General features: G+C 37.0%; 1 long non-coding RNA gene across 1 annotated transcript in view; it reads left to right on the top strand.

Annotated features, from left to right (window-relative positions):
• Positions 1-23,891, top strand: part of LOC105376595 (uncharacterized) — a 28,111-nt gene extending 4,220 nt beyond the window's left edge. Inside the window, exons 2-4 of the long non-coding RNA XR_931131.1 lie at positions 14,335-14,395; positions 20,775-20,802; positions 23,821-23,891. This is a non-coding gene — a long non-coding RNA (uncharacterized LOC105376595). The remainder of the gene's footprint in view (positions 1-14,334; positions 14,396-20,774; positions 20,803-23,820) is intronic.
• The last annotated feature ends 343 nt before the right edge of the window (positions 23,892-24,234 follow it).

The following is a 24,234-nucleotide window of genomic DNA, read 5'->3' as shown; positions in this document are numbered from 1 at the left end:
ACTGAGTAACTGTTTCCGACATATACTATCATGTTCAGAGAACATGCTCTGTATGATTTTTATTCTTTTCAGTTTTTTAAGGTTTTCTGCTCTATTTTGGTGAATGTTCTGTGAGTGCTTCAAATGGACATGTATTCCATTGTTGTTAGTTGGAGTGTTCTATAAGTGACAGTTGGTACCTGTTTGTTATTTAATTTTTTATAACATTGTGGCATTTCTGTCCAGTAGTTCTGTCAATTGCTAAAAGTAGTTTTGAAGTAGCCAAATATAAATGTGGATCTATTTCTCCTTTGATTTCTATACATTTTTTGCTTTATTTTGAAGCTGTTGTTTGCTGTATAGACATTTAAAACTAATGAGATTTTTGGTGTATTGATCCTTTTATCATTATGTAATTACCTTTTTGTCTCTTGAAATTTTCTTTGCCTGAAGCCTACATTATATAACATAAATACAGCTTCTCATGATTGTTTTGATAATGTTTGTCATTTTTCAGTTTTCTTTTCCTTTCAACCCACCTATATTTTTATGTTTGAATTTAGTTTATGTAGACATGATAGAATTGGGTTCTGTTTTTTTTTTTTTTTTTTTTTTTTTTTTTTTTTTTTTTTATTATACTCTAAGTTTTAGGGTACATGTGCACATTGTGCAGGTTAGTTACATATGTATACATGTGCCATGCTGGTGCGCTGCACCCACTAATGTGTCATCTAGCATTAGGTATATCTCCCAATGCTATCCCTCCCCCCTCCCCCGACCCCACCACAGTCCCCAGAGTGTGATATTCCCCTTCCTGTGTCCATGTGATCTCATTGTTCAATTCCCACCTATGAGTGAGAATATGCGGTGTTTGGTTTTTTGTTCTTGCGATAGTTTACTGAGAATGATGGTTTCCAATTTCATCCATGTCCCTACAAAGGATATGAACTCATCATTTTTTATGGCTGCATAGTATTCCATGGTGTATATGTGCCACATTTTCTTAATCCAGTCTATCATTGTTGGACATTTGGGTTGGTTCCAAGTCTTTGCTATTGTGAATAGTGCCGCAATAAACATACGTGTGCATGTGTCTTTATAGCAGCATGATTTATACTCATTTGGGTATATACCCAGTAATGGGATGGCTGGGTCAAATGGTATTTCTAGTTCTAGATCCCTGAGGAATCGCCACACTGACTTCCACAATGGTTGAACTAGTTTACAGTCCCACCAACAGTGTAAAAGTGTTCCTATTTCTCCGCATCCTCTCCAGCACCTGTTGTTTCCTGACTTTTTAATGATTGCCATTCTAACTGGTGTGAGATGATATCTCATAGTGGTTTTGATTTGCATTTCTCTGATGGCCAGTGATGATGAGCATTTCTTCATGTGTTTTTTGGCTGCATAAATGTCTTCTTTTGAGAAGTGTCTGTTCATGTCCTTCGCCCACTTTTTGATGGGGTTGTTTGTTTTTTTCTTGTAAATTTGTTTGAGTTCATTGTAGATTCTGGATATTAGCCCTTTGTCAGATGAGTAGGTTGCAAAAATTTTCTCCCATGTTGTAGGTTGCCTGTTCACTCTGATGGTAGTTTCTTTTGCTGTGCAGAAGCTCTTTAGTTTAATTAGATCCCATTTGTCAATTTTGTCTTTTGTTGCCATTGCTTTTGGTGTTTTGGACATGAAGTCCTTGCCCACGCCTATGTCCTGAATGGTAATGCCTAGGTTTTCTTCTAGGGTTTTTATGGTTTTAGGTTTAACGTTTAAATCTTTAATCCATCTTGAATTGATTTTTGTATAAGGTGTAAGGAAGGGATCCAGTTTCAGCTTTCTACATATGGCTAGCCAGTTTTCCCAGCACCATTTATTAAATAGGGAATCCTTTCCCCATTGCTTGTTTTTCTCAGGTTTGTCAAAGATCAGATAGTTGTAGATATGCGGCATTATTTCTGAGGGCTCTGTTCTGTTCCATTGATCTACATCTCTGTTTTGGTACCAGTACCATGCTGTTTTGGTTACTGTAGCCTTGTAGTATAGTTTGAAGTCAGGTAGTGTGATGCCTCCAGCTTTGTTCTTTTGGCTTAGGATTGACTTGGCAATGCGGGCTCTTTTTTGGTTCCATATGAACTTTAAAGTAGTTTTTTCCAATTCTGTGAAGAAAGTCATTGGTAGCTTGATGGGGATGGCATTGAATCTGTAAATTACCTTGGGCAGTATGGCCATTTTCACGATATTGATTCTTCCTACCCATGAGCATGGAATGTTCTTCCATTTGTTTGTCTCCTCTTTTATTTCCTTGAGCAGTGGTTTGTAGTTCTCCTTGAAGAGGTCCTTCACATCCCTTGTAAGTTGGATTCCTAGGTATTTTATTCTCTTTGAAGCAATTGTGAATGGGAGTTCACCCATGATCTGGCTCTCTGTTTGTCTGTTGTTGATGTATAAGAATGCTTGTGATTTTTGTACATTGATTTTGTATCCTGAGACTTTGCTGAAGTTGCTTATCAGCTTAAGGAGATTTTGGGCTGAGACGATGGGGTTTTCTAGATAAACAATCATGTCGTCTGCAAACAGGGACAATTTGACTTCCTCTTTTCCTAATTGAATACCCTTTATTTCCTTCTCCTGCCTGATTGCCCTGGCCAGAACTTCCAACACTATGTTGAATAGGAGCGGTGAGAGAGGGCATCCCTGTCTTGTGCCGGTTTTCAAAGGGAATGCTTCCAGTTTTTGCCCATTCAGTATGATATTGGCTGTGGGTTTGTCATAGATAGCTCTTATTATTTTGAAATACGTCCCATCAATACCTAATTTATTGAGAGTTTTTAGCATGAAGGGTTGTTGAATTTTGTCAAAGGCTTTTTCTGCATCTATTGAGATAATCATGTGGTTTTTGTCTTTGGCTCTGTTTATATGCTGGATTACATTTATTGATTTGCGTATATTGAACCAGCCTTGCATCCCAGGGATGAAGCCCACTTGATCATGGTGGATAAGCTTTTTGATGTGCTGCTGGATTCGGTTTGCCAGTATTTTATTGAGGATTTTTGCATCAATGTTCATCAAGGATATTGGTCTAAAATTCTCTTTTTTGGTTGTGTCTCTGCCCGGCTTTGGTATCAGAATGATGCTGGCCTCATAAAATGAGTTAGGGAGGATTCCCTCTTTTTCTATTGATTGGAATAGTTTCAGAAGGAATGGTACCAGTTCCTCCATGTACCTCTGGTAGAATTCGGCTGTGAATCCATCTGGTCCTGGACTCTTTTTGGTTGGTAAACTATTGATTATTGCCACAATTTCAGAGCCTGTTATTGGTCTATTCAGAGATTCAACTTCTTCCTGGTTTAGTCTTGGGAGAGTGTATGTGTCGAGGAATGTATCCATTTCTTCTAGATTTTCTAGTTTATTTGCGTAGAGGTGTTTGTAGTATTCTCTGATGGTAGTTTGTATTTCTGTGGGATCGGTGGTGATATCCCCTTTATCATTTTTTATTGTGTCTATTTGATTCTTCTCTCTCTTTTTCTTTATTAGTCTTGCTAGCGGTCTATCAATTTTGTTGATCCTTTCAAAAAACCAGCTCCTGGATTCATTGATTTTTTGAAGGGTTTTTTGTGTCTCTATTTCCTTCAGTTCTGCTCTGATTTTAGTTATTTCTTGCCTTCTGCTAGCTTTTGAATGTGTTTGCTCTTGCTTTTCTAGTTCTTTTAATTGTGATGTTAGGGTGTCAATTTTGGATCTTTCCTGCTTTCTCTTGTAGGCATTTAGTGCTATAAATTTCCCTCTACACACTGCTTTGAATGCGTCCCAGAGATTCTGGTATGTGGTGTCTTTGTTCTCGTTGGTTTCAAAGAACATCTTTATTTCTGCCTTCATTTCGTTATGTACCCAGTAGTCATTCAGGAGCAGGTTGTTCAGTTTCCATGTAGTTGAGCAGCTTTGAGTGAGATTCTTAATCCTGAGTTCTAGTTTGATTGCACTGTGGTCTGAGAGATAGTTTGTTATAATTTCTGTTCTTTTACATTTGCTGAGGAGAGCTTTACTTCCAACTATGTGGTCAATTTTGGAATAGGTGTGGTGTGGTGCTGAAAAAAATGTATATTCTGTTGATTTGGGGTGGAGAGTTCTGTAGATGTCTATTAGGTCTGCTTGGTGCAGAGCTGAGTTCAATTCCTGGGTATCCTTGTTGACTTTCTGTCTCGTTGATCTGTCTAATGTTGACAGTGGGGTGTTAAAGTCTCCCATTATTAATGTGTGGGAGTCTAAGTCTCTTTGTAGGTCACTGAGGACTTGCTTTATGAATCTGGGTGCTCCTGTATTGGGTGCATAAATATTTAGGATAGTTAGCTCCTCTTGTTGAATTGATCCCTTTACCATTATGTAATGGCCTTCTTTGTCTCTTTTGATCTTTGTTGGTTTAAAGTCTGTTTTATCAGAGACTAGGATTGCAACCCCTGCCTTTTTTTGTTTTCCATTGGCTTGGTAGATCTTCCTCCATCCTTTTATTTTGAGCCTATGTGTGTCTCTGCACGTGAGATGGGTTTCCTGAATACAGCACACTGATGGGTCTTGACTCTTTATCCAACTTGCCAGTCTGTGTCTTTTAATTGCAGAATTTAGTCCATTTATATTTAAAGTTAATATTGTTATGTGTGAATTTGATCCTGTCATTATGATGTTAGCTGGTGATTTTGCTCATTAGTTGATGCAGTTTCTTCCTAGTCTCGATGGTCTTTACATTTTGGCATGATTTTGCAGCGGCTGGTACCGGTTGTTCCTTTCCATGTTTAGCGCTTCCTTCAGGAGCTCTTTTAGGGCAGGCCTGGTGGTGACAAAATCTCTCAACATTTGCTTGTCTATAAAGTATTTTATTTCTCCTTCACTTATGAAGCTTAGTTTGGCTGGATATGAAATTCTGGGTTGAAAATTCTTTTCTTTAACAATGTTGAATATTGGCCCCCACTCTCTTCTGGCTTGTAGGGTTTCTGCCGAGAGATCCGCTGTTAGTCTGATGGGCTTTCCTTTGAGGGTAACCCGACCTTTCTCTCTGGCTGCCCTTAACATTTTTTCCTTCATTTCAACTTTGGTGAATCTGACAATTATGTGTCTTGGAGTTGCTCTTCTCGAGGAGTATCTTTGTGGCGTTCTCTGTATTTCCTGAATCTGAACGTTGGCCTGCCTTGCTAGATTGGGGAAGTTCTCCTGGATAATATCCTGCAGAGTGTTTTCCAACTTGGTTCCATTCTCCACATCACTTTCAGGTACACCAATCAGACGTAGATTTGGTCTTTTCACATAGTCCCATATTTCTTGGAGGTTTTGCTCATTTCTTTTTATTCTTTTTTCTCTAAACTTCCCTTCTCGCTTCATTTCATTCATTTCATCTTCCATTGCTGATACCCTTTCTTCCAGTTGATCGCATCGGCTCCTGAGGCTTCTGCATTCTTCACGTAGTTCTCGAGCCTTGGTTTTCAGCTCCATCAGCTCCTTTAAGCACTTCTCTGTATTGGTTATTCTAGTTATACATTCTTCTAAATTTTTTTCAAAGTTTTCAACTTCTTTGCCTTTGGTTTGAATGTCCTCCCGTAGCTCAGAGTAATTTGATCGTCTGAAGCCTTCTTCTCTCAGCTCGTCAAAATCATTCTCCATCCAGCTTTGTTCTGTTGCTGGTGAGGAACTGCGTTCCTTTGGAGGAGGAGAGGCGCTCTGCGTTTTAGAGTTTCCAGTTTTTCTGTTCTGTTTTTTCCCCATCTTTGTGGTTTTATCTACTTTTGGTCTTTGATGATGGTGATGTACAGATGGGTTTTCGGTGTAGATGTCCTTTCTTGTTGTTAGTTTTCCTTCTAACAGACAGGACCCTCAGCTGCACGTCTGTTGGAATACCCTGCCGTGTGAGGTGTCAGTGTGCCCCTGCTGGGGGGTGCCTCCCAGTTAGGCTGCTCGGGGGTCAGGAGTCAGGGACCCACTTGAGGAGGCAGTCTGCCCGTTCTCAGATCTCCAGCTGCGTCCTGGGAGAACCACTACTCTCTTCAAAGCTGTCAGACAGGGACACTTAAGTCTGCAGAGGTTACTGCTGTCTTTTTGTTTGTCTGTGCCCTGCCCCCAGAGGTGGAGCCTACAGAGGCAGGCAGGCCTCCTTGAGCTGTGGTGGGCTCCACCCAGTTCGAGCTTCCCGGCTGCTTTGTTTACCTAAGCAAGCCTGGGCAATGGCGGGCGCCCCTCCCCCAGCCTCGCTGCCGCCTTGCAGTTTGATCTTAGACTGCTGTGCTAGCAATCAGCGAGATTCCGTGGGCGTAGGACCCTCCGAGCCAGGTGTGGGATATAGTCTCGTGGTGCGCCGTTTCTTAAGCCGGTCTGAAAAGCGCAATATTCGGGTGGGAGTGACCCGATTTTCCAGGTGCGTCCGTCACCCCTTTCTTTGACTCGGAAAGGGAACTCCCTGACCCCTTGCGCTTCCCAGGTGAGGCAATGCCTCGCCCTGCTTCGGCTCGCGCACGGTGCGCACACACACTGGCCTGCGCCCACTGTCTGGCACTCCCTAGTGAGATGAACCCGGTACCTCAGATGGAAATGCAGAAATCACCGTCTTCTGCGTCGCTCACGCTGGGAGCTGTAGACCGGAGCTGTTCCTATTCGGCCATCTTGGCTCCTCCCCTCGGGTTCTGTTTTTATCCACTCTATGAAATCTCTACCTTGTAGTTGGTGTTTTTAGACTATTTAATGTAATTATATATTTATATATAATTGTATATAAATATATATAATGTAATCATAAATTACAGATTAAGAATGGCATTTTATTATCTATTTTATCTTTCATTCTCTATTGCTTATTGCACTGTTTATTTTTCTTTGCCTTTTTGTGGATTACTTGAACATTTTTTAGAGTTCCATTTTAATTTATGCATATATTCCTTGCATAGATTTCTTAGTGATTACTCTCTATGTGTGTGTGTACATCATAAAATATATAGATGTCATAACCTACAGGTGTCACTATTTTACTACTTAAAAATAGTAAAATTACTTACTTAAAATAAATAAAATGTATCCAGCTTATCTTCCTTTTAAGTCTCTTCATTTTCCCAACTTTTAGAGTATACTTGTGTAACATATGATTGTCTATTTCCTCACTCTTACTTCAGTAAAATGAATAAAAACATATAGGTAACACCATATATTTAGTGAGCTTCTGGATTGAAACTGCATTCCTTTCTTTCTATAAACTTGAGAATAAATTTATGCAATACACCATTTAGAGAGGATTAAATTTTGTAGGCATTGTTATGTCAATTAAAATTAGGTATTAGATGCTTATATCTTTATATAAGGGACAAACTGATATTTGTGTTAGGGTAATTTTTTAGAGCAGTTTTGTTTCACACCAAAATTCAGAGGAAGGTACAGAGATTTTCCATATACTCCCTAATTTCAACACACCCCCAAGAGAATGGCACATTTGCTATAAAGAAATGATAAACCTACATTGACACACCATAATTACTCAAAGTCTATAGTTTAATATTTGAGTTCACTGTTGGTGTTGTAGATTCTATTGTCTTGGACAAGTATATAATGACAAGTACCCATTATTATAGTATCATACAGTGTATTTTCACTACACTAAAAATCCTCTGGTTCGGCCTATATATCCCTCCTTTTCTCTCTCATCCACTGGCAACCTCTAATTTTTTTTGTATTGTCTCCACAGTTTTGCCTTCTCCAGAGTGCCATATAGTTGGAATCATACAGTATGTCAGCTTTTCAGATTTTTTTTTCATTTAGTAGTATGTATTTAAGGTCTCTCCATGTCTTTCCATGACATGGTAGGGTAGCTCATTTCTTTCTAGCACTGAGTAATATTCCATTATCCGGATGTAATACTGTTTACTTCTCCATTCACCTACAATAATACCTTTTTTATTTGCAGCATTATTTGTTTCAGTAATGTCATATCTAGTTAAATGTGTAGTTTATCTGTATTGATCTGTCTCAGCATGCTTATGCTGTAATGGCTGAGTATGAAGGAATAAGCTTGTAGGTTATCTAAAGAGAACATACAACTTTCTAGAAAGAATATAGACAAAACCTTCTACATTAATGTATTTTTAAACATTACCTTTAGTAGCCATAAAATAAATATTACTTTGTTTAATTTAGATCATATATTAAATATATATATACATACATATATATGTATATATATATACATATATATGTGTATATACGTATATATATACATATATATGTGTATATACGTATATATACATATATATGTGTATATATACGTATATATATACATATATATGTGTATATATACGTATATATACACATATGTGTGTGTGTGTGTGTGTGTGTATATATATATATATATACACACACGTATATACATACATATATATATTTGTCAACCCCCATGTATTGGTTTCCTTTTGTGGTTTATCCCTTGCATTATGATAAAGAATATAAAACATGTTTTTTAAATGCATCAATATAAGACTCAAATAAGCATAGTAAGAACTTATTTGGCACTGGACTTGGTTCACAGGCTGTAACACTAAACCTTTCCTTGACTCACTGCTATCCTTTCCCCCTCAATGGGTGTTGTTATTTTAATTCTCTGTGTCCTAACAGTTACTAATACATACGTGTTTAGTACATAAAGCTGAAATACTTATCAACCTAGGAACTGTCGAGCAAGAGTGAGATTGAAATGTTATAAAAGATATCTCAGAAAAAAAGAAAAGGTAGCTATTATTATTAATTAACAACAGGAATAGAGTCTCATAGGTGAAGATATAGTGCAAGTGGAATCATAAAGGAAGGATCACCTGGGAGAGTGAGAGCGGGAGGACAGGGACATTATAGCAAAGAACTCACCAAAGAGATAATGTCTGAGCTGTATCTTGAAAGACGATTTGCTTTTTAGACAAGGCAGAGTGAAGTGCAGGGGCACAGGTAAATAGAGAAAACCATGTACAAAAGGAAATGCCTAAGCAGAAAGACAGGTGATAGATGAAAAGTTGAAACAGAAAGCTATGTGTAGTAATTTATGTTTTCAATTACCATCAAAATGGAAGCAAATGGAGCTAGATAAAGTCAAAGGTTAGATCAGGAAGTTGGCCTACCCTTAAATGTTACTCATGCACAGTACAAATGAATGCCTATATGCTTTTCATCTAAAGTTTTAGAGGTTAGAAATTAAACTGTTAATGACATGACATATACCTTTATAATTGTCTGGAAGCACAGACTCAAATTTAGAAAACTTCTTAAACTTCTTTAGCAGAATGAAAGCAAGAAGCTAAGAAGAAAGCTGGCCCCTTGGTCTGCCTCTCCTCTTTTGCCACACCTAGCTCAGCCTTGCACAATAAAAAAACCTGTCACTGATGTCTGTGGCCACCCTGGCCCACAAGCCAAACCATACCTCCCTAAAGCAGGTGCCCCATAAATATTCCTAAACTGTAGCCCCTTTACCACATAGATTTCTCATCACTAGGGTAAGGATGTAACCAGAGGAGAGCTGGAATGATGCCCTCCAAAGCACTGGACCCATGGCCTTATATTCTAATTATAATAATTTGAACATTATCTTGCAAACTAAAATGAGTTATTGAAGAAGTGAATATTATATATGCAGTTTTACTTTTCATATCGCTATAAATTAGGGCAAAACATGAATAGGAATAATTTTTCTTATAAGGAAAAGCAACATAATAGTTATATTCTCAACCTTCTTCAAAAGACTTCATTCATTAAAGTACTGTATAATAGAATTGTCAAACAACTAAATAAAGTGCGCACAACAATTTACCATGTGTAATACTCCATGTACTTCACGTACCTGAAATAATTCTGCTAAACTGTGAATTTAATGCTGCTAATGAGACATTTCAAACAATAGGAGTAATAGACTTCCTTTAAATAAGATTTGCATATCTTTAAGCTAAAGCTTACACCACCACTGCTCTGGAAATCCTTTGATCACCACGACATAAAAAGAACAGGAGGAAGGAAATGGGAAGAGCATTTGAACATGGACCTGGAAGTGGAATGTAGAAAGCCAGGTTTTCAAATAGCATTATCCTTTTGTTTTTCATCTACCCATGAAGAATGCAGGCTGAAACTCCAGAATTTTTTTTTTTTTTGAACACTTGTTCATCCACACTGTGAATCACAGACTAAATAAACATGAGAATGGTGACAAATGAAGGAATATCTTAAAGAGAATGCCAAACACATTAACATTGTTTTGTCTTAAAACTTCTGTACCTAAGGTTGTCAGGGGGAGGGAAGAGAAACTCATTTAATGAATTAAAAATGAGAGGCCCAAAACTCCAATTTTTCATTAACTTTTCATCCAATAGGAATTATTTTGACCACAAGAAGAATCCTTTTTTTTTTTTTTTTTGTTTGAGATGGTGTCTTACTCTGTCACCAGGCTGGAGTGCAGTGCCATGATCTTGGCTTACTGCAACCTCTGCCTCCCGGGTTCAAGCAATTGTCCTGCCTCAGCCTCCCAAGTAGCTGGGACTACAGACTCATGCCATCATGCCCAGTTAATTTTTTTTTTTTTTTTTTTTTTTTTTTTTTTTTTTTAGTATAGAAGGAAGAGTCTTTATCACAAGGTTCAGGGAGGATAGCTACCATCAGTGCTAATTGTGTTGATGCCAGTGGTTTTCCTGTCACTCCATGATTCCTGGTCAAGTAGTTGTTGGGTTAGTTGACACTTTAAGGTGGAAAGAGTTAAAGAGGTGGTAATACCCAGGTTCTAGAATACTGATTCATATTACAGAGACTATGGGAAAACTTGTTATTTGCAACACAATAGATATTGAAAGTCCCATTCCTGTGTGAACCATAGGTCTTAGTGAGTTCTTTGGGTATGTTTGGAGGATTTCTCTTGACTATATTGGGCATCATAAGTGGCCTAGTTCAAAAGTAGAACCCCTTAGTCCATTTCCTTCAGAACAGGGGTGATTAATTTTGATTGTCACTGGCTCTTTGAAAATGTGATAAAAGCCTGAACTCACAACTTAGAAAAGCACATGTAGCCACTCAAAACTTTTCATGCAATTTCAGGGAGTTCCTAACCCACTTTGGGCCTACACATGGGGCCTCTTAAGTGTTCTGGGTCTATTCCTCCAGAAATCATGGGATCCAAGGTTTCCTAATACAAAATTATCTGCATTTAGTTGGCATTTAGTAAGTACTGATTGATTACATACTAGTGTTTTTGCTTTTTTGGAGATAAAATGGAATTGATGGTTAAATATTTCCTAAAAACTTGAAAAATTATTTTTCTACAAGGAACTGATTTTCCAGTACAAATGTTCAATTTACTTAAATAATTCAATTTAATGAACATATGCTGTGCAACAAATATCTTCATATATACATGATGTCAACAAACATGTTCATGTACATAATAGTATATAAAAATAATAATGTTTAAGAGCATAAGCTCTCATGTCAGATGGACTGGGTTTGAATTGTTAAGACTCCTTGTACTTCAGTTTAATAAAACATAGAACAAATTAACATGTGGTACATATGGTTGTTATTTCAATTAAACAAATTTAAGCATATAAAATGTAGCAAAATATCTGACATAGCAAGTGCAGCTAGTACTTGGTTGTAATTATTATAAGAAAAAAGTTTATTATGCAAGAAAAGCTCTTTCCAGATATACACTTAATAAAAAGCAACTGTTAAGAAAGTTTATATCATATGAGGGGCTAAAATTTACTGTTGTAGCTGAAGTAAACACTTTAAATGGGTTATTTGACAGAAATGTATTGCTTTATGGTTTATCCTTTGAATTATTGTAAAGAACACAGAAGAATTTTTTTTAACACATCAAGATAAAATTGAAGTGCAGCCATATCAGTCCTGTTGATCAGTTCTTCTTTCTCTAGACAATGCAGTCAGAGTAAGAAGAGTATAGGAGAGAGAAACTGTAGGTTGATTGACTTAGGTTAATTTGAGTTGAGTAGCAATTCCATATTTAAATTTTCAGTCCTCAGGGAGAAGATGTTGGACTATTAAAAGAGCCTGCACAGATTCTTTCCCTTTGAGATAGATTACACTTCTCACTTAAACATACACTTAAAATGAATGGGGAAGGAATATAAAACTTGCTAGTAAAGTTGTGAATGATATGATAAAGTGTTTATAGAATAAATCTCATGCTGGAACTTACTCTGCTATTTATTTTCCAAAAAAAGCTTTTGATTTTGTTTTGTTTTGCTTACTACTGGAGAATTGTTTTGAGATAACATAGTCACTGTATATTTGAATAGCTAACTATTATTCCTGTTTCAATACAATTGCATTGAATGTGCAAACCTACCATAATTCAACCTACCATTTGTGAACAGCTTGAAAATACAGATAAGGGACTGAATGCAGCTCCGGATTTTATTTTATAATCTAGCTAGGCATCCAGGAGGCAAAACATTATTTTTTTTTCTACTTCATTATCATTGCAAAGTCCCACAAGAGATGTGCAGAATTGTCTCTATTTTGCAGAATGTCCTAGGGGATGAAGGTTACAAATCCTGTCCACTATGAAAAAGTGCTAACTTTCACTGCCAACATAGTCCAGGCAGATTTATTAGAGGGAAGCTTGACTTTGTACTTATTTCTTCTGATTCTGTAAATTATAGTGTCTGCAGAATAGATCACCAGGGAAAAGGAATCCTTCTCTTCGTTTCTACTTGTCTTGGAGATAAAAGTTTAACAGATTCTACTTCCTGTACAACTGCAGTCTAGAAGACAATCTGCTCATAAACACTGACTACATCCAATAGCCAATTTTTTAATAGTCCCTTGGAATAACGATACTAGATTCAAAATTTCACATCTTTGCTCACATTTTTGCACACTTGAAGTGATTTTTCACTCCCTACATTTACACAAATTCTATTTGTGATTTAAGATGTTAGTAAAACCTCATCTACTCCATAAAGTCTTCCTTGACCGCTAGATATAAAATGATATCTTGCTCCTTTCTATAGCATATGCTTTCTGTGACTTTCTTTTAAAATGTATAACTTCCTGCCTCAGCAAATGTGCATTTGGCTATTGTATGTAATACTCCCAATGAGCTTGTCAACTCTTCTAAAACAGAATCATATCTTATACATGGAAAGCACTCATCCCTATTCTTAGATCCAGAGTCCACTAGAAGACCTTGTTCTTGCTTGGGCCTCTGCCAAGTCTTCAAGCTCCAATCACAGGCTAAAACAGGGGCTGGCAAATCACATTTCATGGGCCAAATCTTGTTGAATGCTTCTTTTTTTCATAAATAAAGTTTTATTGGAACACAGCCACATCTATCTGTTTACCGATTCTATGGCTGCTTTCTCCCTGGCAGAGTTCAGAAGTTACAACAAAGACCATACACCCACCAAAACAAATTACATTTACTATTTGGTTCTTTATGTGAAAAAAAAAATAGACTAACCCCATGCTACAGACATAGAGGGCTAGAGACCTTCTCTCTCTTTACCCTGATTTTGCAGCTGTGGTAAGGTTAATGAGCTGGCAGCATTATCTTTGTTATTACCTTCCTCATCCAGTCCCCTCCTTGCTCCAGTAAAAACCTGCCTTGTTCCATCTTATCAAACTTCTGGATCCTACATTTGAACTCACAGAAAAGGCTTATGTTAGACACTGTTCTACTCTCTGTTTGAAAGCCACTAAACCCAGCATCATGACCCCCTTTTCTACCCTCCCCATGCTCTAGGAGCTCAGGAAATAGAAGAAAAGCAGGGGAGTTCTGGCTTAGCCAAATGAGAATGAGAATCATTCCAAGTGCATTGAAAAGGCTAGAATGGGCTGGGCATGGTGGCTCACACCTGTAATCCCAGCACTTTGGGAGGCTGAGACAGGTGGATCACGAGGTCAGGAGATCGAGATCATCCTGGCCAACATGGTGAAACCCCATCTCTACTAAAAATACAAAAATTGGCTGGGCGTGGTGGCATGCGCCTGTAGTCCTAGCTACTCAGGAGGCTGAGGCAGGAGAATCACTTAAACTCAGGAGGCGGAGGTTGAAGTGAGCCGAGATCACACGACTGCACTCCAGCCTGGGCCACAGAGTGAGATTCCTTCTCAAAAAAAAAAAAAAAAAAAAAAAGAAAAGAAAAGAAGTAAAAGAAAAGGCTAATGCTTCCATAAGACTTTTCCCTGGGCAAGAAGCATAACCTGCATAAGAAACTACAAAGAAAACTAAGGACAGGTTTTCAATAAAGGTTGTGAACTTGGAAAAATCTTTTCTAAACTATAATAATAGAAACTAAATTTCAATCAACTACTTAAAGGAAAGACTGGATCATCTTTCTTTCCTCTCTATAGAGAATCTTACTACAGAATTGTTGTTGTGAGTGAGGTGGCCTAACAGCATACCACTAAAAAGGTAAGCCAAACAGTGTTACAGAGGTGAGTCATTCCTCTAATTAAATGCTTCAATTAAGTTACTTTGGGGGATTTTAAAATAATTTGACACTTGCCAGATCTTTAAAGTTGATAATGTATTATTCCTTTTTTATAGTTCTTTATAAGTATTCACTGTGTATCTAATTTTGTAATCAGAGTTATATATTTTTCCCTTTAAGGGGGCTTCTCAAAAATGTAGATCTACCCCTGTCAGAAAATCATTAATTGCCACCTACATCTGGATGTTCCAAAGGCACCACATATTAAATATGAACATAGCAGCTCCCACAAACTCTAAACATAAGGCCAGTTCTCCTCCACGAAGATTTTTCTAACTTTCCCTCTCCTGGGCTGAGTTAGTTATGAGAACTCTTTTTCATTACCATAAACTCAAGCCCTTAGTAAATTGAGCAAATCCTGTTTAAAATGCAGGTTTTATAATAAACATGTTGGGGCAAAGATGGTTAAATGAGAAGTGGCTTACCATATTTATACAAAGGAATCATTTATATTAAGTTTTGCATATCCTCAGTTTTGTTTTGTTTTTTTTTTCTCTCACAAACCATTGTGAATGCTCTCTAGTTGATTTAGCATCTCTATAGTTTGTCATGCTTCTGAATTTTTTTTCATAAATATTCCTAACTGTAAAGAACCTGGAAATGGTTTTCATAGATTCATTAAAGTGAGGTAGATGCAGCACTGAATTGAGACTGAGAACACAAGGAGGTGGAGCAAGATGGCCAAATAGAAGCCTTCACTGATTGTCCTCCCCACAGGAATGCCAAATTGAACTATTCACACACACACACCCACACACACACACACACACACAAACACTTTCATAAGACCAAAAATTAGATGAGTAATTACAGTACTTAGTTTTAATTTTATGTTACTGAAAAACTCATTTGAGTATTGAACTGCTGACATCACCCTCCTTCATCCCCCTAGGAGTGGCTGCATGGCACAGAGAGAGAATCTGTGCACTTGAGGAAGAGAGAGTGCAAGGATTGTGGGATTTTGCATTGGAACTTAGTGCTACTCTGTCGCAGTGGAAAGTAATACCGGGCAGAATTCAGCCAGCGCCCACAGAGGCAGCATTTAGACAAGCCCTAGCTAGAGGGGAATTGCCCATGTCAGCAGTTGGAAACTGAGTTCTGGCAAGCCTTACTACTGCACTACAAAGTGCACTGGGGTCCTACATAATCCTGAAAGACAGTCTAGGTCACAAGGACTTCAATTCCTGGGAAAGTCCTGGTGCTACACTGGTCTTAAAGCCAGTGGACTTGGGGTGCATGTAACCCAGTTAGACACCAACCAGGGCAGCCAAGGGAGTGTTTTGGTCAGCCCTCCCCCAGCTCCAGGCATCTTAACAAAAAGAGAAAGAGGGTCCATTTGTTTGGGAGAAAATAAGGGAAGAGAACAAAAGTCTCTTCCTGATAATCCAGAGAATTCTGCTGAATTTTATCCAAGACTTACCAGGATGATCTATATGAGTCTGTAAGAACTACAGCATTACTAGGCTTGGGGGGACCCCCTAGGAAGATATAGCTGCAGTGACCAAAATCTTAGATCACAACACCTAAGTCCCTTCAAATACCTGGAAAGCCATCCCAAGAAGGATAGGTACAAATAAGCCTAGACTGTGAAGACTGCAATGAATACCTAACTTTTCAATGCCTAAATATTGACAAACATCCACAAGCATGAAGACCATCTGGAAAAACGTGATCTCACCAGATGAACTCCATAAGCCACCAGGGACTAATCATAGGGAAACAGAGATATGTGACCTTTCAGAAAGATAATTTAAAATAGCTGTTTTGAGGAAACAAAATAAAATTTAAGATAACACAGAGAAGGGACTCAGAATTCTATCAGATAAATTTACCAAAGAGAGTAAAATAATTAGAATCAAGCAGAAATTCTGGAGCTGAAAAATGCAATCAACATACTAAAGAATGCATTAGAGTCCCTTACTAGCAGAACTGATCAAACAGATGAAAGAATTAGTAAGCTTGAAGACAGTCTATTTGAAAATAAACAGTAAGAGGAGACAAAAGAAAAGAGAATAAAATATAATAAAACATGCCTATAAAATCTAGAAATAGCCTCAAAAGGGCAAATCTAAGCATTATTGGCCTAAAAGAGGAGGTAGAGAAGGATAGGGACTCATTCAAAGGGATAACAACAGAGAGCTTTCTAAACCTAGATAAATATGTCAATATTCAATTATAAGAATATAATAGAACACCAAGCAGATTTAATCCAAAGAAGGCTACCTCAAAGCATTTAATAATCAGACACTCAAAGGTCAAGGAAGAAGAAAGGATCCTAAAAGCAGCAATAGAAAAAAAAATAACATACAATGGAGGTCTAACATGTCTGGCAGCAGAAATCTCTGTGACACCTTACAGGCCAGAAGAGAGTGGCATGACATATTTAAAGGACCAAAGAGAGAGAGAGGAAAAAAAAAGAAACTTTAATTCTAGAGCAGCATATTCAGCCGAAATATTCTTCAAACACAAAAGAGAAATAAAAACTTTCCCAGACAAACAAAAGCTGAAGGATTTCATCAACCCCAGACCTGTCTCACAATAAGTACTAAAAGGAGTTCTTCAGTCTAAAAGAAATGGGTATTAATGAGCAATAAAAAATAATGTGAAGGTACAAATCTCATTGCTAATAGTAAATCTATGGAAAAATACAGAATATTACAGCACTATAATAGTGGTACATGAACTACTCATATCTTGGGTGGAAAGGCTAAAAGATAAACTAATCAAACATAACTACAAGTTTTCAAGACATAGTATAATAAGATATTAAGTAGAACCAAAATAAGATAAAAAGCAGGGATTTGGATGGAATTAAAGTGCAGAGTTTGTGTTAGTTTTAGTTTTGCTTGTTTGTTGGTTTATTTCTTTGTGTATACAATCAATGCCATGTTATCATCAGTTTAAAATAATGGGTTATAAGATATTTGTAAGCTTCATGGTAACATCAAATCGAAAAATACAAATTAGTATAACCACTATGGAGAGCGGTTTGCAGGTTCCCCAGAAAGCTAAAAATAGAGTTCCCATATGATCCAGCAATTCCACTGTTAGGTGTGTACGCAAAATAAAGTAAATCAGTATACTGAAGAGATTGCTGCACTTCTGTGTTTACTGCAGCACTATTCATAATAGCAAGAATTCATTATAAGATTTGGAAGCAACCTAAGTGTCCATAAACAGATGAATGGATAAAGAAAATGTGGTACACATACACAATGGATTACTATTCAGCGATAAAACAGAATGCAATTCTGTCAATTGCAACAACATGGATGTAACTGGAGACCATTATGTTAAGTGAAACAAGCCAGGTACTGAAACACAAATTTCACATTTTCTCACTTATTTGTGGGAGCTAAAAATTAAAACGATTGAACTCATGGAGTTAGAGAGTAGAATGATGGCTGCCAGAGGCTGTGAAGAGTACTGGGGGTGAGAGTAGGTATAAGCGGGGGATGGTTAATGGGTATGAAAATATCATTAGATAGAATAAATAAAATCTAGTATTTGATAGCACAACAAGGTGACTACAGTGAGCAATACTTTAATTGTGGATTTAAAAATAACTAAAGGAGCATAATTGAACTGTTTATAACACAAAGAAAAGGTAAATGCTTGAGGTGCTGGATACCTCATTTCCTTTTATGTGATTATTATGCATTTATGCTTGTATGAAAATGTCTGATAAATATATACACCTACTATGTCCAATAAAAATTAAATATTATTTTTTAAAAGCCTGAGAATAGCTACTGTTTTTTGTTCTGTTGTGCAGTGATTGGACAGGTCCCAGGACACAGGTCATGCTAAAAATGTCTCAAAGAGGCAGAGCTGCTACCTGTGTGTATTTATCCTGCTCCGCAACTTTTATCATTGAACATGGAATTTTGAGATTAGATGGGTCACTTGAAGTAATCAGTTCTTTGAAAGACTTAGTGCCAAGAAAAGAGATGAGTAGAGGGGATTCTAGGAGAAGGGGATAGAATTTAAAGAGCAACAACTCTAACATGTCAAGGAGTTCAAGAGACTATTGCCTTGACCCCAGAAGGTGTTCAGTAAACTTTTACTGAATGTAGATATGAATACTGGACTGTGAGAATGAAACTATAGAGCTCATTTTCCCCAAGGGCTAGAATTCAAATCACTTCATAACTAGGCTGAAATGGAAAGACTATATTTCGTATTAATCTTAACAATTCAGGATTCTGCAACTCAGTGATGCACCTGAAACTTGACTTATTCCATGTAGATTGTTTACCTGAGTAAAAGCTATTTGATGCATATATGTCTTTTAAAAAATTGAATCCTGTGATACTCAGTTATTGTTTTTAAACCAGGTAGATCATATCGCTTAAAAAGTTTATTACCAATACATATGCGTGGAACCTGCACCCTATATATTTCTATTCATCAGATCTGAGTTGAAAGACATATTTATTTGTTAGATGCTTACCAGATAACTCTAATGTATTGCCAGCATTGGAAACCATCTCAGGAACACAATTTGCCAACCCATTCATCATTACAGTATCTCAGAGAAGTCATTTGCTACTGTGTTTTTGATTTCTTACGATAGGAGCTCACTATTGGTTCAACAGATATTTTTACAAAATACTTTAATAGTTCTAGAAAATTGTTTTCAATATAAACTTACAGAGAATAAGAATATCTGTATGTTAAGCAGTGTCATAAATGCTATTAAAAATAAAATGCATTGAAACAAAGTGTTTTGGGAGGGTGTTAAATATAAATTTGCACAATTTAGAAAATACAGATTGATCAACTAATCTATACTTACTTAAATACAATAATAACAATAATGAATACTTTAAAATGTGTTTAAAATTAAAAATATTTCATTTTTCAAAAACATTAATATTTTTTGAAATTCAAGTTTATGCTCTTTGTTCTCATATTATATACTATCATTTTGGGAGGATCAGATCAAATTAATTTCAGATAAGTATGTCCAATTGTGGATAGACAGGTTTCCTTTGGAAATTTTTTGCGTACACTGGATAAAAGTATCCTATTAACAAATACTTGGCTGAGTGCTGTGGCTCACCCTGTAATCCCAGCACAATGGGAGGATGAAGGGGGTGGATCACCTGAGGTCAGCAGTCCAAGACCAGCCTGGTCAACGTGGCCCAATCCCATCTCTACTAAAATTACAAAAATTATCCAGGCATAGTGGTGGGCGCCTGTAGTGCCAGCTACTCGGTAGGTGACTCCAAGCTACTCAAGTAATCCCAGCTACTCCAGTAGGTAGCTACTCGGTAGGTCAGGATAATCACTTGAACACAGGAGGTGGAGATTGCAGTGAGCCAAGATCGTGCCACTGCACTCTAGCCTAGGCAACAGAGCAAGACTTTGTCTCAAAAAAAACAAACAAAAAAAAACAAAAAAACAAAACAAAACAAAAACCCTAAGGAATCTAAGAAGTAAATTACCTTTCAAAATTGCTACACAGTCTTAGCCCATTTTCAGAAGTCCTTTAATATTGTGTTATCCTGGGAACAGAACATGGAACTTCTCTATATTTCTTAAATGAGATTTTATTTCCCAATAGTAACTTAATTGTTTTCAAAAATAATTTCACAGTATATTTTTTAGAATCATCAACATCTCTGTTCTAATCATTGGAAATCTCAGTCTTAATGGATATAGAGAAATAGAAGGAAACAAAATATATTTTGGTTCAATTCATAATTTCTAGATAGGCTTACATCTCGAAGTGTGGCTCTTGCCTTAATATACATTTTTGGTTATTTAATACTACTTATCATTTTCATAACCCCATAACCCCACTAAAAAAAGTATTTCAAGAAGATAATAGATGTGATCAATGAATAAATTCCCAAGTCAGACATATTCACTGATTTCCTTATGTCTAGGATGGTATTTATATTTTGGGCTTATATGATTAAATGAATTCTAGTTATCTAGGTACTTGGACATATAAAGGAGAGTCTAATAGATTATGGTGTTTCCCCATCCCCATCGGCCTTATGCTGTGAATAGAACATGTTTTTCTTAAGCTTTAAATAAATGATATTTTCTAAATTGCTATTTTCTAATATGAAGATAGAGCAATTTTAGATGTTCACCTCCATGACTCCAATATTTTAAAGTTCCTATACCCATGGAACAATTTATTTCTCACATCTCTTTACTTGTAAATTAGTTCCATTAACTGTCAGAACTTATTTGCCAGAACAACTTTTATCAGCTCTTTTAGAAGTAAACTTACTTGTTCCTTTGAAGTATATAGAAGTAATTAGATGTCTACATTTTTTCCAGTTCCAGACCTGGTTTTTACCCCCAAAAGGTAAGGAGAAAATCATAGAAAGCTTCACAACATTAAGTGCATCATATTAAAGAGAGAAAAGGATCTACTGAATTGGATCTTCCTACACAAAGCATATTATTTTATAAAAGCTCTTTCAAAGTTAAAAATGAATCAGAATAACCTTTGTTAGAAATGGGTTGAAAACACATCCCTTAGAATAAAGATAATAATAGTAACAACTAAGAATATAATAGCAGATAACAAGTGCTTTAAGTAAATATTGAAACCCGGGAACTGCCTATTAGTACCATCAAAAGTCCTGTCTCACTTAAGAAATAGCTAGAAGAAAAATATTTACTTCAATGAAATTAATATATCATGTTCTATTATTTGAAAATGACTTTTTGAAGATTTGGTGGGAAATGCGACAGTTCTTCACTTTGTCTATCCTGGCACAAATGTCTTTTATTGAGACGTTATATAAATAATTTGATAAGGCCTTAGTTAATTGTATCCTACTCCTCGAATGTATGTTTTACCATATGAGCTGGGCAAGTGTTGGTAAATAATTGAAAATAAGGAAGCAAGTATGAGAAGGAAAATGGCAGGAGATAGTGATGTTAAAACATGATTTTTTTCTTCTTTTTTTCAATGTAACCGTTATAGAAGTGACATAAATTCAAAGAAAAGTACAATTGCCACCTCTTGGAGGACAGAACTATTGAGGAGTTGATGGAGAGTCTAGAAAGTAGTTAGGTTTTGTGGTCCTGGTATGAAGTCATGGGGGGTGGTGTTACATTTATATAATTTTGTCTAGTGTGGAGAGAGGTTAAGTCCCACCTCAGAATGCATGAGGGAAGTATTTCTCAGTTGATAATGCCCACTGAATAAATAAAAATATTGTTAAACCTTTCTTTCTCTAGACTTGAAGCTTCTTATAAGTGGAAACTAACACATTATATTTTGCCACTATTCTTGTCCTCCTATATCAGTCAGAGTACAATCAGGAAAACAAAAGCCTCTCTAGAATGTTTAAACTATGAGAGATTTCACACAGGAAATGAGCTACTTGCAAAACAACTGAAAATGCTGGAGGAGTGATCAAGTTATCTCACTACTAGCTCAGACTTGGTAATATAATCAGGAAGTTGCTTCTGTTATAGGTCAGGAGGCTGTCCACAATGTTCACAGTGATCTGAAACACTCAGAAAGTGAAATTCACATGGAAGGCCCAGCAGCTGGTACACAATCACATCCCTGATAGAGCCCATGGCTGCCTGCTGTTGCTAAAGGAAATACTTCTGCCTCCCACATTTCCTTGTGAAACCGCCTATCATTGGTGCACTCTAACTTGAAACTCCGCTGCAGAGAGATTTTGAAAAATATAGTTCTTAGACTTCCAGACCCTGTGATAGAATGGAGAAAACTAAAGGGGATGGAATTGATTCTGAGTATAGATAATCTGACAGAGTTTATTTTCCTTAGTTGTCATTAAGGACATAAATTCTTATGCACCTTTGTGACAATTATCTCTTCTCCAGAATTTCTTTAAAAAGAGCATTTATTCTGGAGTGAGCACATACAACGTACTGTACAATACATGGCAGAATAACATGTGATTAATTAATAGCCACTGTTCTCTGCTGAGTATGCAAATTATTGGCTGTGATATGAAGAAGATTTTAGTATGGCAGAGTTTGAATAGCAAATGGTTATTAATAACATGATATTTTCAACTGTGGCACAATCCCGTGGGGGAATCTAGGACCTTTAGAAATACAAATTTGAATTATAGATCCATTACTTATTAATTTGCATAAAGTGCACTTAGCATTTTCTGAGCTTCAGTTTTCTCCTACATCTAAAAATGGGGATTTATAACACACTTTCAAAATTGCATGAACATTAAATAAAAATAAAATAAGAACATATCTTTATAATACCTGTCACATAGTATATGCCAACTAATTAAAGGAAAGTGGCAACAGAGCTAGGACAAGGCTTAAATAGTAATCAATTGATGAAAAAAAATGGCAGAGGAAGAAAATAGACTCCAAGCCACTTTAATTTAAAATTTGAGTTAAAAGATAGATTAGTTTCTACTCTCTTAACCAAGGTGTAGAGACTTAAGAAGCATCTTGCTATATGAAAAATTGATTGCATTAATTTATTTTATAAATTTAGTGTTATTTTTCTTTAGCAAGAATCTCAGTTGTGAAGAAATGCAAGTTTTGAACAGTAAATTAAGAACATAATATCATAATTTATGTTCCTGATTTATGATTAAATACAGCTGATTAAATCTAGGTTTCTTTCCTTAGTAACAGTCTGACTGTGGAGAAATTTGCACACATGCCAGGAAGTAATAATAGAACTCAGTTCTATTATTGAATTCTATTATTGAATTATAAATGAATCACAGTTCCACATGGCTGCAGAGGCCTCAGGAAACTTACAATCATGGCAGAAGATGAAGGGGAGGCAAACAACTTCTTCACAAGGGGCCAGGAGAGACAGACAGTGCAGGGGAAACTGCGACTTTTAAAACCATCAGATCTCCTGAGCTCTCCCTCACTATCACCAGAACAGCATGGGGGAATCTGCCCCCATGATCCAACGACCTCCCTCCTGGTCCTTCCCTTGACACATGGGGAATAAAATTTAAGATGAGATTTGGGTGGGAACACAGAAAAAACCATATCATTCTGTCCCTTGCCCCTCCAAAATCTCATGTCCTTTTTCCATTTCAAAACCAATCATGCCTTCTCAACAGTCCCCCAGTGTCTTTACTCATTCCAGTATTAACCCAAAAGTCCAAGTCCCAAGCATCATCTGAGACAAGGCAAGTTTCTTCTGCCTATGAGTCTGAAGAATCAAAAACAAATGAGTTACTTCCAATATACAATGGGGGTATAGGTATTAGGTAAATGTTCCCATTCCAAATGGGATAAACTGGCCAAAGCAAAGGGGCTACAGGCCCCATGCAAGTCTGAAATCTGGCTGGGCAGTCATTAAAATTTCAAGCTCCCAAATTTGCTTTGACTCCCTGTTTTACAGGTCATGCTGTTGCAAGTGGTGGACTCCCATGGCCTTGGGCAGCTTTGCTTCTGTGGCTCTGCAGGGTACAGCCCCTGAGGCTGCTTTCAAGGGCTGGTGTTGAGTGCCTGTGGCTTTTCCAGGTATATGTTGCAAGCTGTCAGTGGGTCTACCTTTCTGCAGTCTGGAGGGTGGTGGCCCTCTTCTCACAGCTCCACCAGGCAGTGCCCCAGTGGGGACTCTGTGTGTAGGTTCCAACTGCACATTTCCTCTCTGCACTGCACTAGCAGAGGTTGTCCATGAGGGCCCCACCCCTGCAACTGACTTCTGCCTGGACATCCAGGTGTTTCCATACGTCCTCTGAAATCTAGGTGGAGGTTCCAAAAGCCCAACTCTCATCTTCTGTGCACCCACAGAACCCATACCACATAGAAA

This window comes from Homo sapiens, chromosome 11, assembly GCF_000001405.40.
Source record: "Homo sapiens chromosome 11, GRCh38.p14 Primary Assembly".
Lineage (NCBI taxonomy): Eukaryota > Metazoa > Chordata > Mammalia > Primates > Hominidae > Homo > Homo sapiens.
Note: the sequence above shows the minus strand (reverse complement) of the source record. Positions and strands in the feature narration are given on the sequence as shown.